General features: G+C 40.3%; 1 long non-coding RNA gene across 1 annotated transcript, besides 2 other annotated features; it reads left to right on the forward strand.

The window, feature by feature from the left end:
- The first annotated feature begins 5,189 nt into the window (after positions 1-5,189).
- LOC105370360 (uncharacterized) lies at positions 5,190-17,085 on the forward strand. The gene is made up of 3 exons (XR_931723.3): positions 5,190-5,389; positions 15,277-15,415; positions 16,209-17,085. It is a non-coding gene; the product is annotated as an uncharacterized LOC105370360 (long non-coding RNA).
- Positions 11,242-11,536: an enhancer, noted in NCBI's record as "tiled region #11013; HepG2 Activating DNase matched - State 8:EnhW". NCBI's record gives its function as "activates a minimal TATA promoter and a strong SV40 promoter by Sharpr-MPRA in HepG2 cells {active_cell/tissue: HepG2}" and the evidence as "EXISTENCE:reporter gene assay evidence [ECO:0000049][PMID:27701403]".
- Positions 15,911-16,411: an enhancer, noted in NCBI's record as "H3K4me1 hESC enhancer chr13:110460038-110460538 (GRCh37/hg19 assembly coordinates)". NCBI's record gives its function as "activates a minimal SCP1, AML or CMV promoter by ChIP-STARR-seq in primed H9 embryonic stem cells {active_cell/tissue: H9 hESC(primed)}" and the evidence as "EXISTENCE:reporter gene assay evidence [ECO:0000049][PMID:30033119]".
- Positions 17,086-19,188: the final 2,103 nt, after the last annotated feature.

The raw sequence follows: 19,188 nt of genomic DNA on the forward strand, positions 1-19,188 counted from the left end.
AGCAAATATGTTCATATTTTCTAATGCAATTTATATCCCAATTTGCATAGTTACTTATACAGTTTAATAGAAATGTATATCACTGCCCACTTAAGAGTTTAGAATACTAGCCAACAAAATAAAAACAAGAATCTAAATTCAGTATTATTTTAGAATGTTTACCTAATCAAAAATAAGTTATAATCAAGATTTGCTTATCTGGCAAGCCAAGTGTTTTTTAATTGTATTTCTCCCCTACATTGACCTTTAAGTCTCACATTCTTTTTAGGATAAGCCAAAGTCATCTTGAAAGATTGAAAAGCAAATTGGAAAAAGTAAGATAGGAAAGAAAACATACTCTGAAAATGACACATAACAAAAATGTATTTTAAAAACATAAATAACAAATGGCAATAAGCATCGAATGTCACTATCTTTTTGATTGCGTAAAATTATTTGAACTTACATACTCATTACTAATTTGGCAATTCTAAATTTACAAATTACACCTTCCTTCTTAACTGCTTTATTCTCAATCTTTAGGCATTGCAAATAGAAGATATTCAAGTTAGTCAAAGTGTTCAGAGCTGTTATTCAATAGAGTGAAGGGATCTGAAAACTTATTTGCTACTGAACATGTCGTTGAGGTACTTTTATGGATGAAAAAAAGTTGATATATAAAATATCAATAATAGTAATAGCTTGTGAGAGTAGTTTGTCAGTATACTCACAAAGATCATGAATTTGACGCTTACTAGTATGAGGGATAAATAAAAAACATTTTATAATATGTAGCTACCATAAAGATACGATTATGACACAACTGAGAATTGAGCGGTCTTTTAATTCTCCTTTTGAGTAATCTTTACCAACCTGTCCTCTGAGCCTCCGTGTATATGCTATGTTTAAGACCAATGATTAGCTATTTATACATGAATTTTCCATTTTTCCTTGTTCAAAACACTTTTGTCACACAAATAATATTAACTAAACTAAAGTGACTTGAGGGAGTATGGATTAATGAGGTTCACAAGAAAATAAATAAAGCAACAACTTGTGAAATTTAGGGCAGATGCCATTTATTGCCATTTCCCGCTGACTGTTAAGTAGAGATTTCAGTTCAGATAAACACATTCTAAGAATTACTACTGAAAGTGTAAACATCAGCCTGCATTTTAGTACTTGCTGGTTCTTTAGTAAAAATTTCGAATGTCAGCCCAAGGTTGTCTTGCTAAAAGAGAAAAAAAATAGGAATTATATATTGAAAACATCTTAAAATTATATTTTATACTACAAAAATTTCCTTTTAGGTAGTAAAAGTGAGAATTTAAAAACATGATTCTCACTGCTACTAAAAGCACACAGAAAATGAAATACATATTTTTGAGACTTGATACTTACCTGTTTTATTTTGATAAACTTGTACCTAGTTTTAAAGTTTCTTCACACTAAAAGTACACCACAATTTCAAAATGGCACCCTTGTCTCTCACAATATAAACTTTAAAGGAAATTAATATCTAGATCATCATTTTGCTTTGTTGTTTTAAATATCATCATGTTTTAGTTACAGAATAATACAAAAGTGGGCTCACCCTTTATCGTGAAGGTGCATTTATGGCATTTTCAATTCAAAATATAAAAATCCGCAAACATTGTTACTAAAAATGTGCTAGATATTTGTTAAGCCTCAAACGTATACTAAGAATTACCCAGAACATAGGTCTTTGCCCCATTAGCTTTCTGTCTAAGTAATAAGGCACTATTTTCCTCAACTATTTCTTTCCTCAAATATTTTTTTCTTGTGTCTTTTGTTACAATATTGCCACACATAATTTGAAGATAAAAATTGCCATATATTATAACCATCATCTGGCTTTTTTAAAAAAACTTTCTTAGTGCTTGATTTTAATGTCCAATGCTGCAATTTTACCTTCTTCTTACTAATGGTGTAGAGTAGAGAAAGTGACTTTTATCTCTGAGCTGAGGAAGTTTCTAAATTTCATTTCACAGAAATTAGTTTTAATGAGTCAAACAGTAATTCTATTTCTTTTATTTTTAGGTTGCTTCCTTTAGAAGGTACCGTTTTGGACTCTTGACGCTGCCTGGGTCCATAGTGTGAGGACCCATCTGTGTAGTAGAGAATAATACTCAATAGATGTAGTGATGTAGTTATGCTGTGTGGTGGTAAATTCATTCTAACCCAGTGAAATGTTGGATTCGGTCAAATTTATCAACGTTTCTTAAGCACCTACTTTGTACTAGACACTGATCCTGTGGACATCAAAATGCAAACCGACCACAACCACTCAGCTGTGTCTGCTGGGAAAGGCCCTCCTCTGTGCGTCTCTCCTGCTCCCACGCCTGTTAGTGGGTCAGTGAAATACGCAAGACCCTGGCTTTGCTTTACTCAAGCCTTTTTTAAGGGTTGTGCTTGCAGCAAACCACACTAAGAGGTGAGGTCGCATTCCAGAACAAAGTGCGGGCCTGCTTATTTCCTGCTACAAAAATGGTGGATTACCCAAGTCCTTTGTGTCAGCCGAAACACAGCCCACTGCAGGCGTGGCATCCAACAGGCCCCGCCCTGTTGCCCCATGCTGCCCGGGAAGCAAGAGGAATAGAGGCAAGTCATGCCACTTTCTGTGCCATGAGTCTCTGACCGGAAAGGCTTACATCCTCTGCCAGCATCCACCTAACGGTGACGGGCTAACATTACTTTCTAAGGGAAAGGGAGTAAAATCTCAAACCCTGACAGTGTGCTTAGGAAGCTCACAAATCAGTGGGAGGTGGAGAACCTACATGAACATAGCCAAATCAAAAGGTCAGTTGTATTTGGTACAGAACTAAATCTAGATACAAGGGACAAAGCATATTATAAAGCTGGCAGTTTATTTCATTGGAGGATAAGAGATTATTCAGTAAATGGGGTTGGCAGAACCAGAAAATATACCTGTAGACACATAAAAATTAGATGCCTGTGTCCTTTCACTAAAATGTCAGGTGAAGCAAAAAATTAAATATTAAAACATGAAACCATAAAACCAAGTAGAAAAGTAAAGAAATATTGATAAACTTGACTTTCTAAAATAGGATTCTGTAGGGGGAATACAGTAAAAACAAAACAAAAACAGTAAAAGCAAAGTTAAAGTAGAAGCTGGAAGGAAATTGCAGCCAGTATCATAGATGAAGTGCTAATGATGCTTATTTAATACTTTAAAAGAGCGCTGTAAAAAATAAGAAACTAAAAACATTCTAAAAATTGGTGAATGACCTGAATACAAATTTCACAATAATGAAAATTAATGCAAGAAAGGCTTAAATGTGTGAAAGTTTGCTTAACCTTTCTTGTAATAAGATGAATGCAAATTAAAACCACAATGTGGTAGAATAGTTCACCTATCAGATTGGCACAGATCAAGAAGTTTGATAACACGGTGTGTTTGCCAGAATGTTGGGAAACAGGTTCCCACCCAAGGCTGCTGGTGGTACAGACTGAACAGCATCTATACAATTTGGCTGTATCTGTCAAAACGACAAATGTCTCATGTTCCTTGACCCACAATCTAATTTCCAGGAATTACTCATGTGGATGGGAAATGACTTCTTTATAAGGGTGTTCATTGCATTATTGTTAGGAATAGAAACTTATACACATGATTACAGTATTGTCTTGTAATGGCAAAGGTTTGAACCCTATGCAACTGTAACACAAACGAGGCAGCTCTGTTTATACTGACCCAGAATAATATTTGACTGTATAATGTGAGGTGGGAAAACAAGCTTCAGAACAGTGTGTATAGTATAGTACAACCATTTTTTTTATTTTTAAAACGTGTGGGTATGTGCACAGATACCTACTGCAAGTGACCTCACAAATATGGCAATGCGAGGAGCCAACCTGGCTTCCTGGGGAAGGGACGGGTTGGGGAGAGGACTCACGTTTCATCGTGTTACTTTTCGGACTTTCCGAATTTTGTAGCACAAGTATGTATCAAATATTTAACAGTGTAAAAATAATTGACTTTAATTTCTAAAGGCTCAGTAGCACTTGGTGATGATTTGGGGGTAGGGGAGGAAGAGAGGACCTTCAGTGTCCTGCACTGTCGCTGGGTGATGACAAGGTCTTCTCCTGAGATGGGGGAGGGAGAGTTAAGAGATTTATTTTGGACACACGAGGTTGGACATAATAGAAATCTGAGAGAAGATGTTGGATAGGCTGTTGGAGAGGCTTGGAATGGAGATATTAATTTGGGATTCATGGGCATCTAGCTGCATTTAAGTCCCTAGGATTTGCCGAAAGTGACTGTGAGAGATGAGATTGGAGCACCTGGGATTGGACCCAACTACTCTTAACATTTAGAAGTCAGGGACAGAAAGGTAATCTAGCAGAGAAAACGCAATGAAAGGGCACAGACTAGCTTGCTGAAGAACCACGGGAGTGGACAGCAGAGAGCATTGCAGCAGGGACTGGCCAGCCAGGGGTAACGAGGATGAGTGGTCCAGGCAGGGGACCTGGTGACATGGGAGCCATGTTGATCTAGTGCGTGGTTTCCTGGTGTGAGGAAGAGGGGAATGCAGCCTGGAGAAGGCATGACAGATGGGGCAGGATCCATGAGAATGAACTTTCAATAAATGAAGTCTTTGCATTATGAATTCAAAGTGCTATTTAGCAGAAACATTGGAGAACGAGAAGAATCCGAAGGAAAATCCAGGGGCAAAATAAGCATTATCCTCCGGGAGCAGAAGAGTCAGTGTCCCCAGGATGCAGCCAGCTTTCAGGAAAGGCTGAGACTCAGAAAGCATGGGAGTAGTGTTGCAATGGAAAGGACACTTGAGAGAAGACACTGGAAGTGTTTGGGAGGTAAAGGAGTGAAAAAGGGCTGGGTGAAAGGAAAACATCAGTTAGGATAACCCCATGGGAGAAAGTGGATAGCTCTAAGGGCTTCTACTGTGGGCAGAAATATGACGCATGGTAGGTTGAGTTGTTTGTTTCGTTTTGTTTTGAGACTGAGTCTTACTCTGTCACCCAGGCTGGAGTGCAGTGGCACAATCTCGGCTCACTGCAACCTCTGCCTCCCAGGTTCAAGCAATTCTCCTGCCTCAGCCCCTGAGTAGCTAGGACTATAGGCGTGCACCACCACACCCAGCTAATCTTTATTGTATTTTTTGTAGAGATGGGGTTTCACCATGTTGGCTGAGTTGGTCTCAAACTCCTGACCTCAAGCAATCCACCTGCCTCAGCCTCCCAAAGTCCTGGGATTGCAGGTGTAAGCCATCGTGCCCGGCCGGTAGGTTGAGTTTTAATGGTGTCTGTGAAGATGCAAGTTCAGCTGTAGCCTGGAAGTGTGACCTGGCATCTGAGAGGAGCACTGCAGCACCCCTTTTCTGTGCTGCTTGCATTGGCATCCATGGTGAGTGCAGCAATAGCTGTCATCAGTGAGCAAAGAGGCTCCAGCCAGGGGCCCTGTGGTGCCTACAGGGAGAGGCAGAGATCTGGGTGTCCCCAGGTTTTTCTGCTTGAGTCAAAGCCCCTGGGAGCCCAGGTATGAAAACCTAGGGGCTTCCATCATGTCCGGATGGTGGGTCTCCATCATTCCTCTTAATCTCATGGTTTTCTTGCAAAGCTGAAGAAGCCCCATTATGGGCTTTTCCTCAAATTGAATGTCATCTTGCAACATCTCTTCAGCTTTGCATTTTTGGAACATGGATCAGAATCTTTCCTTTCCTTGACTCCCTTTCTAGCAGCTTGTTAGAATGCATTCATGTAGCAACTGGGAATGAATGCGACACATTTACATTTAACACCTCCCTTCCATTGACTTCAGCTCAGACCTTTCCAGAGATTTCTCCATTAGAGGACTGTTAGATGCCACTAGACGTGTGAGACCAAATGATGTTGGCATCATCTTGGAATAGAGACGGAGACTGGGGTCTGGCCTTTCTTCTGGTCCTCAGTCCTGCAGGCTGTCCTTTCTCCACTGCACCTCCTCAAGGAGCATTCCTGGTAGCCTCTGGAACCTGCCCTGGGTGTGTTTTGGTTCACTCTCTATGCTTGATAGGCTTTCTCAAAGAACCTGCTGCATCGTAAGTGCTCAACACACTCTTTTCAGGATTGTTCTTTTATGTTTTTAGATTACAATTTTATGTAATTTTTTTCTGATTAAATACTTTTTGTGTGGCTACGGAAAAGTTCACATAAATTAACACATTAAAGACCTTTGAAAGCTCCTGACTGGCACAGTAGACACAGCCAGTACATATTGGCTATGATCGTTTGTGTTCTGTATCAGATTGGTTTACAGGCCACAAAGATGGGGGCCCTACGGATCCTCTCTGTTCAAGCAGTGAAGAGCTGGTATCTGAGGATAAAAGAAGCTTGTGTTGTAATGATGTGGAAATTCCAGAGGTTGTGATGGAATGAATGACCTAGAATAGAGAAGAGCAAAGCATGTTGGGAGCAGGGAGGTGGAAAAGGGAGTATAGGAAGAGGGGAAGAGGGGTCCCAGTTGGCCTCCAGGTTTCTGGAAGTACCAATCCTAGAGTCTTCTTGGTGAAGGGAGTTGGCCAAGGCAAGGAAACCTGAGCCCTTTGTGAAGGAGTCAGAGGAGGTTTATGACTAAAAAATGACAAATTATGCCATATTACGTATTCTGAACAAATATGTGTAAATACATGATTTAGATAAATTAGGTATTTATTAAATATTTCAAGATTTGGTTCCAGAAGAGTACAATTTGTCTCTTCACCATTGTTAGAGGGAAAAAAACAGGTAAAGCCAATCAAAGAAAGATGAAAGTTTTTAGAGGAAAAAAAAATCTAGTTTTGCAGCAAAGAGGATTAATCTGTAAAGTCTCATCTTATAGATGTGCTACTGTAGTAATCTAGAATTTGTTTCTTCTTATTCTTCATTTCCCAACAGTATTAAGATGAAGTGTGTAATCTTTAGAACTAGAGAGAAGTCTGTTTGCATCTGTGGGGTTAATGCAGAGAGGGAGGTGAGAGGTGATTCTTGCCATACTTGGTCACTTGAATAAAACTACCTATTCCCATGGCTTTCTCTTTAGGGAGTAGAAAACCCTCATTTCAATGAAATCAGTGTTTTTCATAATTGGAAGCCTACCTTCCAAGAGCTAATGGCATATAATGGAAATGAATTATCCCTTGCTACCTAAACACTTGCTTCCTAAACTCATATTTAACTGTGTAAGGATATTTATATTAATTTAGGAAGTTTATATCTAAGCAGGGATTTCCCTTTAACGAATGAAACAATATGCATACTGGCAAGGTAGAAAATGTTTTCAATTTGCATTTTGTTGTTTGGAGGCCTATTTAATTCATTGCAATCTTATTTATTCAGTGATGTATATTAAACATAAATGTATTAAAAATCTACCACTAGAAAGTACTAATTGTCATTGAATGGCACATTTTAAAATGAATAATTTCATGTTATGTAAATGCTGCCTAAAAACTATAATAGAACTGCCATGATTAAGACATTATGTCTACACAGAGAAGGTTAAAGTAACAATACCATAACTACTGTCCTTTTATAAATAAACAAATAAAAACATAATATTTATTCCAAAGGACATTCTTGTGTCGAAAGATGAAACAGAAAGAAAGTGGAAGATAGTAACAGAGAAAGTGGAAAAAAGGACGAGAAGGGATAGACATGCAAAACTCCAGCATTCCAAAGTTAAGGGAAAGAGAATAACCATGTTGTGCCTATAACCCTAGAAGATTACAAAAATTATTTCTAGCAAATTGACAACCCTTCTTTCTGAAGGTAGCTTTGGGCAAAAAGGTGCTGTTTTGAGCTTTTACCCTGAATCACCTGGGGTGCACTTGAAAAGAAGCCATTTTGCCAATGCATTAAAAGTGTCTGAGTGAAAGCTGCCACTTGATTGTCCTAAGAGGCTTTTAACCCCAGCCACATAATTATTTCATAACAAACAATCAGGAACATTTCTCTTCCTCATCAGTTTCCCAGACTACCTCATAGCACATGCATGATACAATGTGTGATTTTGCAGCCTTCCATGTAACATCGGAGTCCTAAAGAGATGGACTTGAAGAGGCTCATGGTGATTTTAATTGCATTTTGAAATGCCACACATATTCTAAGAGATGTCATTCTAAGAGATGTCATCAATCTCTTAAAACATGATTTTTAATGGCTGCATACCATTCTTCTACCCCATTGTACCATGATTCATTTAACCACCTCTTAATACTTGCTTCGTTTTGGTGTTTCTAATTTCTTGCAAATAAAAATTTAACTGCCCTTGCTAATGATTATTTGGTAGGTGATTCTTACCTTGATAAGTAGGTCACCATCTATCCAGTTGTGCAGCTGGAAACCTGGAAATCATTCTTGCAATAGTTTTCACCCCGAATCCCAATCCATTGCCAAATTCTGTCAATTTTCTATTCTTAGTATCTCTCAAGCTTATTCACTTCTTTCCACCCCTCATAAATATTTTTGCCGTAATATTTCTGAATTCCTTATTGGTTCAGCAATATACTAGGTATTTATTATCTTTTATTTTTCACACCTATCCATTGTTACTCTTCTTCCAATTTTTCTCTCAAATTTTTGATGAAATTCAGTTTATTTACCTTAAGAACTTTTATTTTTTACTTATTGGATTTTTATATTGTGCAACATAGTACACACATACAAAAAGATATTTAACATATATGTAAGTTATAAATAATAATACTTTAAAATTGGCATAGTCAAGCCTAAAAAGTAGGACATTACCAATATTTATTTTGAAGTCCACTGACTAGCCTTATCACAATCTGAAATTTTGTGATTATTGTCCTTTGGCTGTCTTCATGATTTTACTGGATATGTATGTAAACATTTTGCATTGTACTTAAATTTAAGCATTATACAAATATTATCATCCTATTAATATTCTTCTGCAACTTGCTCAACAGTATGGTTTTATTATTGAGATGTAACTTAGATACCATAAAAATGTACAACTTAATATTTTTTAGTATAATCACAAGGCTGTGAAATTGTCATCACACTCTAAGTCTGGAATATCTTCATCACCCCAAAAAGAAACCCCAAGAAACTTTGTGCCCACAGCAGTCACTTTTGAGTTCCCCTCCCTTCACCCCTGGCGGCCATAAGTCTTCTCTCTGTCCCTGTTCATCGTTATGTTTTTGAGAGAAATGTATTACGATTTCTGAAGTCGTAGTTCATCTTTTTCAGTTGTAATAAATATATAACTGTTTTTCACTTCTGCCAATAGAAATTTAGGTTATTTGTAGTTGTTTTTAAAATTTCTATTTGAACATGACTTGTTTTTTTAAAAAGTATGTTTCACAATTACACACCTTTTAACAATTAAAGTGCCTTTTAACAATTATTTATGCATACATATATATTCTTAGGCACACTGTTTTAGACAGAAGAATAGAATTGCCAGTGTTAATTCTGTCCACCTTTAATTTTAATGTGTAATAAAAATCATTTTCGAAAGTAAGTGTACAAATTGAAAATTCCACCAATAAGGTGTCATTGTCTTTTACAATTTTTCCCATTGGATTGTAGTCATTGTTTATAGAGGCCATGTGTTAATCTTTTATAAAAATCGATTTGTCAAATTTATTATTTGCTTTTTATTTTCTTTATGTTTTCTTTTGAATGAACATCAATTTTAAATTTTAACTGAGTAAAATTTATCAAGTTTACCTTTTGAGTTTTGTGCCTTTTTCATTTTGTTTTAATTTTTTTCTCTATCGCCAAATTTTCAAGTACTTACTCCTGTATTTCCTTTCTCTCTCTCTCTTTTTTTAGCTTTAATTCACCTGCATTATATGTTTGTGCATGGTGTCTGATAGTGGCTCAATTTCAGTTTTTTTTTAAATTGTTTCCGAGGCGTGTTTCAAATATTTGACTTTTTCCCACTGGTCTGAATAGTGCTTCTCAGATACGGCAAGTCTCTAGGTTTGCATGAGTCAGCCTCTGTGCCCTCTGTTCTTTTCCCCGATGTTCTTTTTGCTTCTTCTTATGCTATTACCACACTGTCTTAATTACTATATTTTATTAACAAATCTCACTTTCTGGTAGACCATTTCCTTCACCTACTTCTTCACTTTCCTTCAGGAATGTCTTGGATATTTGTAACTCTTTTCCTTATGATTTAGCATCAGCTTGACAAGTTTAATAAACCTTGTTAGGACTGAGATAAAATTAGAAAGATTGGACATCTTTAAGGTACTGAGTTCTCCTAGCCAGGAATGTGGCACGTTTCCCTATTTCTTTAGGGAATTGTAAAATGTCTTTTTATAACGTTTTATAATTTTCCCCATAGAGATCTTTAAAATATTTTGTTAGATTTATTCCTAGCACCTTATATATTTTGTTACTCTTGTAAAAAGTATCCTTTTTTTTTTTTTTTTTTTTAGAAACGGAGTCTCGCTCTGTCGCCCAGGCTGGAGTGCAGTGGCACGATCTTGGCTCACTGCAAGCTCCGCCTCCCGGGTTCACGCCATTCTCCTGCCTCAGCCTCCCGAGTAGCTGGGACTGCAGGCACCTGCCACCACGCCCGGCTAATTTTTGTATTTTTAGTAGTAGAGACGGGGTTTCACCGCGTTAGCCAGGATGTTCTCGATCTCCTGACCTCGTGATCCGCCCGCCTCGGCCTCCCAAAGTGCTGGGATTACAGGTGTGAGCCACCGCGCCCGGCCAGTATCCATTTTTAAAAACTACATTTTCTCTTTGTTGCTTGGGTAGAGAAATAAAATCAATTTTTAATTTATCTTATATCTGATCATTTTGTTAAACCCTCATATTAATTTTAATGCTTTAAAGATGTTTAGAGGGAAATATTTTATAAATACACAAATAATACCATTTCATGTGTCGCTTACAGATTTTCTCATCTTATTGAACTGGCTAGAGCCACCAATGTATGCTGTAAAAGCAACCTTGTTTTAATCCTTTTTGAAAGGGAATGTTCCAGATTCTACCATGTGGTACCATGTTTGTGCTAAGATTTTGGTAGGTTCAATTTTTTTCAGTTTAAAGAAGTTCTCCTCTAGCCCATTATGCCAATGAATTTAAGCTGAATGGATATAAAAATTAATCAAATATTTTTTAGTGCCTACTGAGGTGATCTTACGCCTTTCTAGTTTGATTTATAAGTAGGGCTAACTATATTAATTGATTTTTCAATGTTAAACAAAATTTACATTTCTGGAATAGATTTAACTTGGTCGTTCTTTAACTTTGCGTTCCCCTTAAAAAGGACCTTGAGAGAAGGGCTCAGCGTCTGATAGTTCCAGCATCTGGCTGTGGAGCTGTATGGCTGAGTCATCATCTGTTGGTTTGTTTGCTGACTTCCAACCTTTGTGCCTAGATATTGAAGTCACCTTCTCTCCCTTTGAAGGGCAGAGACTTTGTGTGTTTGTCCTTTCACTCAGCATGGCTCTTGGAGTTTCTGGCTGCATGAGAAGGTCCTGGGAGACTCTTCCCTTCCAAGAGCCTCCATGTTGTCTTCTGCCTTTTGGGGCTACTGAAACCGCAGCACAAGGTGTAGGGAAATTACCAGGTTCCCCCAGAGCCGTCGTTCCTTGCACCGCCTTTCCACGATGTGTGTGCCCCCTTTTGTTTTGTCCCCTGGGATTTCTCCTACACTCTTGCGAGGTCATTATGAACTTAAAAGGATGTGGATTTTTATTTTATTTTATACCTTAGAGGTCTTTTATAGCAGAGATTTTTCAGGGCATCAAGACTAGACGTTTTGCCCAAAAGGGAAAACCAGAGGCTTTCAATTTTTTTTTGAATTCTATCTAAAAACCTTTTTTATGGTTCATTCTTTGTTTTTGTACTAGAAAGAACATGTAACTATTTTATGTATAGTCTTTAAATGACATTTGATGTAAATACAGTGTCACAGCAATAGATAGCAATACCAAATAAAATACATTTCAAAGAAGCTGCTTAAAAATTTAAAGATATTGAACCCTAAAAGGATGACTTATTTCCTCAATAAATCATGTAGGAATGGAAGCTTATTTGCAGTATGAATTGTATTTTGTAGTATGGGAAAACAAAGGATAGAAGAGAAATCCTCCTTTCCTTAACTAGCATATTTCAGTAATGTGACACCCTGGGAGGAGATGACAAAGAACCTAGTTTTGAGAGGCACCTTTTGCCATTTACTTCTGGCTGGTCAGGAGTGCCACATAAAGCCACACACAACTTCAGGAGCACCACCCACAAATACTACACTATGAACAGGGCTCCCTGGCTGTGTACAGTGTGGCTGCCCTGATCCTGCGGCAGATAACATTCCTGAACATTTAGTTACTCACCTGTGACATCAGAATCATAGTAAAGTTCATGCAATGAATAAAAAGGATAATATGCATGAAATCACTATATAAATGTTATTATCCCCACCATGCACACCTTTGAAAGAACATTTAAAATTGCCACAAATTCTGCTTGATTTTTGCCACTCATTTAACTTCTTAAAAACTTTAACTTACATAATAAAGCCATAAAAACAGCTCGGTTGAAGCGAAGGGCAGCAGCAAAGAAACTTGCTCGTCCCAGTTGCCCGCCATCCACTCCCTTTTCATCTCAACAGTGAGTTAGGTAACGTGATTCCTTTTCTTTTTCTCTTTCTTTGGAACACAGAACATGTCTGTTAGCTCAGCACAACATGAAGTGAAAGATAGGATCACAGGAATTGTAACTGCTCTTCCTCTTGCTTTACATTCTCCTGTCTGCCAAAGAAGAATGCCTAGCCCCTCAGTGTCTGGTTCAACATACAAACACATACATTTGTCTCTAAGGGGACTCTTTTATCAGTTGGTATCTCCAGCTTTTCTCTCCCCTAGCCTGTGTCCCTCCTCCACATCTATCTTTCTTTCTTACTCAACTTGACGAGCCCACAGACACCTTCACTCCCTGTGAAGCGATGAGAAATGTCCTTATTTCAATTGCGGGTGGACAACCGTCTCCCACTGTCTCCTGGTGCCATCTCTAATCTTACGGCCTCACTGGAGTTATCCAAGGTCCTGAAGACACCCCAGTGACACTCCCCATCTCGCGGTTTGGAGGTTGCAGTTCAGGCATCAGACTCTCTCCAGGCAACAGACATCTGCACTGGCTGGACTGCTGCTACCTAGCGGGGTGGGGTGTGATGGACAATGGAGTCCTATACTACGGGCCTGTCATCCTGGGTCTGTTCTGCCCAGTGGAAGCTGCCCAGGCTGCTGCAGGAGTGGTGATGCTCATGCCACTTGGCCACTTGACCTTGCTCTGCATAACCTAATGACCGCCATCGTTTAATGGTTGCATCATATTCCATCACATGGTCAATAGTCATTTTTCTCTACTTTTTTATTGTTAGGTATTGCTTTTTTTCTTATTTCTTTCAATGATAAATGCTGGTTTGATGAATATGGTATACATTTATTTTGTTTGTGTTTCGCATTATTACTGGGGAAGAACAGATTCCTGAGTGTAGAAATACGGATTCAGAAGTTCTGCATGTTTTTAAGCTTCACATGTATATTGCTGAGTTGCTTCCTGCAGAAGTTAGCCCAATAGCATATAACCGTGCCTCTTTTTTCCCCATTCTCTTCAGCGCTGTTTTAATAGTGTTAAATATTTGTACCTCGTGATAGTGCAAAATTATGTCCCCATGTTTCAATCCTCTCTCCTTTGATTACTAGAAATGTTGAAGTGTTTTCATTATTAAGCACAGGTGTAAATCCATTTCTACAGTTTTGCTAACTTTTCTTGGTTTGGTAATGTCTTTATCACCAATTTATGTGAATTTAGATTATAGTAAGTTTATTAAACCTTTGTGATGTATTTGTTATAAATATTTTTCTGAATCATTAGATAAGTTATAATTTTGTTAATTATATGTGTTGGCCCACAGAAGTTTAAAATTGCTATGTACTCAAAATTTTTCCATTGTGGTTTACTTAATACATTTTCACACTTAGAAATTTCTTCCTTGTCTGGTGTTGCTTATGCTTTCTTAGAATTTATTATGTCCTTATGTATTTAATGCTTTTATTTTGATAAATGGTGAAAATAAAAATCAAAACACTTCTTCCCAAGACTGTGTATTTAATGACCTATCATTTCCCTGTTGATCTTTATTATTTTTTCAATTATAAATAATATTTTGGCAAATTTTGTTATTCATAAAGTTGTCATGATTTAAATTCTTCTGTAGGCATTAGTAAATATCCAGCGTAAGTGGGTACTTATTTTTACCAAAGAATATGTACAAAAATATTCCTGGCACTATTTCAATAGTAGCAAGGACTATAACAAGCTAAATATCCATCAAAAATAGAACAGACAAAAAGTTAGAATATATTCACAAAGTGAAACACTATACAGCACAAGCCGCGGCCCCTGGAATCTGGGCTCTCTGTCTCCATTTCTTACCCACATCTGTGGCTCTGCTGCACCCTTTTGCAGCCTCCAGTTGTAGCCCTGGGTGCTTGAGCTCTATTGCTTCTCAACCACCAGCTGAACAGAGAGAGAGAGAGAATCAGAAAATACTACCCCAGTACCTCAGTCAGAAGGTCTGGAGCTGACTCGCTGTCTCTGACCGGCTGACAGAGGTTCTGTGCTTGTTCGATGGGTCTAGGACACAAGCCATCCCTGGTGCTGGAGTGGATTCATCCTCCCAGGCCATTTTGAGTCTTTGTCACCTGACCTAGCAATGAATTATAGGATGCTTTTCAAATTGTGGTGTCAGAGCCATTCTCTTGAAGCAAATGTCAGTGTCTTCACAAGGTGGGAATGGGTGCTGGCATCCTGAAAACAGTGGTTTTCCACTCTATTAAGTCACCCTGGCCAGCACCTTGTCCTCTGTGTGTCTCAATTTTCTCATCACCCAAATGTCCAGTACATTATAGGGCTGATTATTGATTGTAATTTCTTTAAAAATGAGTTGCTGGCCAGGCGCAGTGGCTCACACCTGTAATCCCAGCACTTTGGGAGGCTGAGGCGGGTGGATCACCTAACGTCAGGAGTTCGAAACCAGCCTGACCAACATGGTGAAACCTCATCTCTACTAAAAATACAAAAAAATAAAAAATAAAAATTAGCCAGATGTGGTGGCAAATGCCTGTCATCCCAGCTACTCGGGAGGCTGAGGCGGGAGAATTGCTTGAACCTGGGAGGCGGAGGTTGCAGTGAGCCCAGATCATGCCATTGTGTGTAAACATATTGAGTTCACCGCCAGACCTTTCAGCATGTGGCCAATGTGTCTCCATTTTTTTGATGTAGGCCAGTTTGAGTTGGACTGTCTGCCACCTGAGCAAGAGAAATCCCACCTGCCAAGCCTCTCGGCAGACGGTGGTGCAGCCTCCACAGCCTGGTCTTCAGATTGTAACTCCGGCCCCTGCTCTGAGCTGGACCCCTCTAGGTGATTTTTAAAGCCTTGTTTAGTTTTAATATTCTCTGATTATCTATGTAGTAAAACAGATTAATTTGTCTTCTAGAGAAATGAAAGTGCTTAATTGAGTAAGGCATATTGTAAGTGCTCGATAAATTTTGGTTATGGGTTAGATGCAAAGTGTCTGGACAAGGAGCAAATTGCCTGGTTCCACAGGGACTGGTGCTGTCCTCTCCTGCCCTCCTCTGTCATATCTGTCCTCCTTTCATGGGGCTGGGGGGTACTTTGGGCCTGTTCCAGATGGACTCCCCCCTAAACTCTGAAGTCGCTTTGAGTCCTGGTCACCAAGCTATGCATTCAATTATACAGTGTCTTTTATTGTGGACATCTGATTCACCTCTGTTTTAGTGTAGTGGATAGGGGCCCAGACTTCCTAGGCAGTCTGCCAGGGTTCAAATCCCAGCACCACCACCGTTAGCTGTGTGTCCGCAGGAAAGTTACTTAAACTCTCTGTGCCTCAGTTTCCTCATTTCTAAAATGAAGATAAGGCCAATTCCTATCTCATAGAAAGGTTCAAGTAAATTAAATTATTGAGGATCACATAAGTTAATTTTCTGAACTGTGCTTACAATGTCTGGCATATATGGCATATAAGGTGTGAGCAGTCACTATTTTATCAGGGTAACCATAGGGAAGAGCTCAGAGGATTTAGAGTCAAATAAACCTGAGTTAGAATCCTGGCTCCAACCCACCTGTTGAGTGGTTCTGACAAAAACCATATGGTCCACGAACCCCCAAATATTGACTCTCTGACCTTTTGCAGATCAAGTTTGCAAATCCTGCGAGAGCCCAGGTGGAGCTTCTGACACGGTGCACAGAAGCAGCCTGGCATAGCGTGTGAGGAGTCCCCCCCCCACCCAAGCCTCCCAAAGACGCCGTCTGCTGTCACTGAGGGCCGGGGCCACAGCCTCTGCATCTCCCGAGCTCCAAAAGTTCCTACGGTTCAACGTTCATTATGCTCAACTGACAATCTGCTGCTAAGCACAGGACTGAGGCTGCATAGCCAGGGACTGTTCTGGAGGGATTTCCATGGACCCCAGGAGTCTGGCATGGACAGCTGTGGGCCAACACCTGCCTTACCCCTCAGTTGGCATCCGCGACGGCCTTGGCACCTCATTAGGAAAGTTAAGGCATCCTGAGACCATCCTGGCTGTCCGTTCCCCTGAAGGGAGCACTCTTTCTGCTGCAGGCAGCTCCCAGTTATCCGAAACACCGTCAAACCCAAGGCCTAGCAGCTCATTTCTGGTTTCGAGCTATGCTTGGGGGACCACTTTCTTGATTCCAAAGTGTATCCCGTGGCCTCAAGAAGAAGACAAATAGAATCAATTGCTTTTGTCCCTTTGATGGAAGCATTTAAATGTGAGGTCCTGACTGTGGCATGAGAGAAAGTTGGACGCCCTGTCCCACTAACGGTTGTTTCTGATGATTCTACACCCCACTCTGTCTCCTCCTGACAACCACAGCCATCTGAGCACCTGGGGTTCATGTAAGAACAGAAGTGCAAGCCTCATTCATTTAAATGCTCTTCAAGGATATGCCCTATGTAAATAAGAAATGAGTGTGCAATGAATTAAGACAGTATACATTCAATTACAAAACCACGAGTTGTGAAAAATAAATTATGAATATGCAAAGGAAAACAGTTCATGGGGAAATAAGATTTGAGTTGTGCCTTCTTGAAATTCATGTCTGCTGTTTTGGAAACATCAGTGTAGACTACAAGGGAAGGAGGTTACTTAAGCCCATCTCTCAAAAAGCAGCAGGGACGAGTTGATCTGGCTGCTGGCTCCGTAGCTTACACAGTCACCAGTGGTGGAAAGAACACACTTCCTTTTCAAAGGACCAAGGTCAAAATTGCATCTCTACTATTTCTTGGGCATGGGACTCTAGAAAAGTTTTAAAATCTCTCTGGGCTTTGTTCTTCTTGTCTTCAAATATAGCATGGTAATGTCTACCTAATAAGACTGTTTTAAAAATTGGGATACTTTATGTGGAGAGGCAGGCACAGAACTCGACACTTGATAAGCACTCACTAAGTGGTAACCGTCATTTTTGTATATTCATCCAACAAACATCCATGGGGCATCTGCTGTGCCCAGGCACAGTGTGGGTGCCCAACACCGCAGAGAGCAGACAAACGTGGTCCCTGACTTGACAAGGTTTCGGTCAGAGGTCCTGGAGAAGTGGCTGTGTGATTACATGTCTATTTTAGGAGTGGGTATGGAGATCCATGGGAGACCATCAGAGAAGCCCTTCCCCGGGGCTTAGGATTTAGAATATGCTTCCTAGGGGAAGCTCTATCTATACTGAGATCAGCGGACAGATACGTAGGAGCCTGGAATTGTAATAAGAGAAAGAAGTAAGGAATTGCCACCTGGGCAGAAGGAACAGGCTGTGCAGAGGCTGGATGCCTGGGAGTGCACAGCGTATGTGTGGAGTGATGTGGTGCACATAGGCATGACGCAGCTCCAGAATGTTTGCAGCTGCTAATCAGGAAATCTGGCCCAAAACTCACTCCTCTCGTGTTCTCATTGTTAGCTAAGCAAAGAGAGCAGCAGCAGGCCTCCTGTGTGCAGCACTTTGTGCCCCGCCCTGGAGGAGGGAGGAGTGTGAGAGCACCCCCTGGCCTGTGCCCTCAGCCATCTCACAATCGAATTGGACATAGACATAAGAGTCTGCATGATCATGGTTTTATGATGTACCGAGGACCTAGAGCATTAGGTTCTCGCTTAGCACCTTTCCCTGCCATCCTCTGTGGAGAAGCTCTGAGTGAGGATGTTTACCAGGAAGGACAGGAGGAGGCAGTTCCTGGGCAGCCTGAGGCTACTGTTAGCCCTAAGCTCTTGAAGGCACTGAGTTTGGCTCCAGGAGAGCTTGGGGTTTTAGAGAATGATAGATCCTCTTCGGGGGCAAGATGGCAACCAGACCACAGAAGATCCTGCCTCGCAGATGCCCCGGTCCACAGACGTGGTTGTTGTTTGGATGCTTCCAAAACACCCGACAGATGCCCCCTGCGGAAAGCCACTAGATGTCTTTGGTTGGACTGTGTCCGTGGGTTCCAGCAGCCCCTCCCTCCATCCATGCCCTGCTCCCAGCATTTGGCTCGGTCTGTTGCTACCCAGTATGACCGGGCTAAGAGGGTTCCTGGAAATGCCTGGCTTCACATTTATTTTAAAAATTGACTCAAGTATAAATATTTTTAAGCTATTGTTCTTTGTCTGAAGTCTTTGGAACAGCTACTCTATCTTGCACAGGCAATTTGGTAGAATGGAAGAAAAATGATTATGAGATTCTGCTATAACCCAAAAGGAGGATTGGCCTGAGAGAAGATGAGAGGTGTCAACAGGCAAAAGATTGAGCTGAGTATGGAAAAGAGAGAACTCCAATTCCCTTGCAATGAGACCACATTGATAAAAATGAAGGGATTCCATCAATCTTAAAGGCCCATAGCCCAATTTATTAACTCCCTCGAGTCCTCCCTGTCTGAGCAGGACTGGCATCACTACCCTCCGAAGCTGTCAAAGAGCACTCCTCTGTTGGACACAGTATGGCAGGTGCCTGCTGCCAGCATTCCTTCCCAGCCTTGCTCCGGCTGCGGGTCCTGCTGTCCGCGTCCACCGACATCCATTCTCCTGTTCTTTCTTTCTCAGGGTGTCAGGAAAGCCCACAAGCCCCTGGCTAAGCCGGCTGAGGCTCTCGCCTGCTGCCTTTGGAGCTTAGACATGCCTGAGTCACTGAGTTCC

The sequence above is a fragment of the Homo sapiens genome, chromosome 13, assembly GCF_000001405.40.
Source record: "Homo sapiens chromosome 13, GRCh38.p14 Primary Assembly".
Classification (NCBI taxonomy): Eukaryota; Metazoa; Chordata; class Mammalia; order Primates; family Hominidae; genus Homo; species Homo sapiens.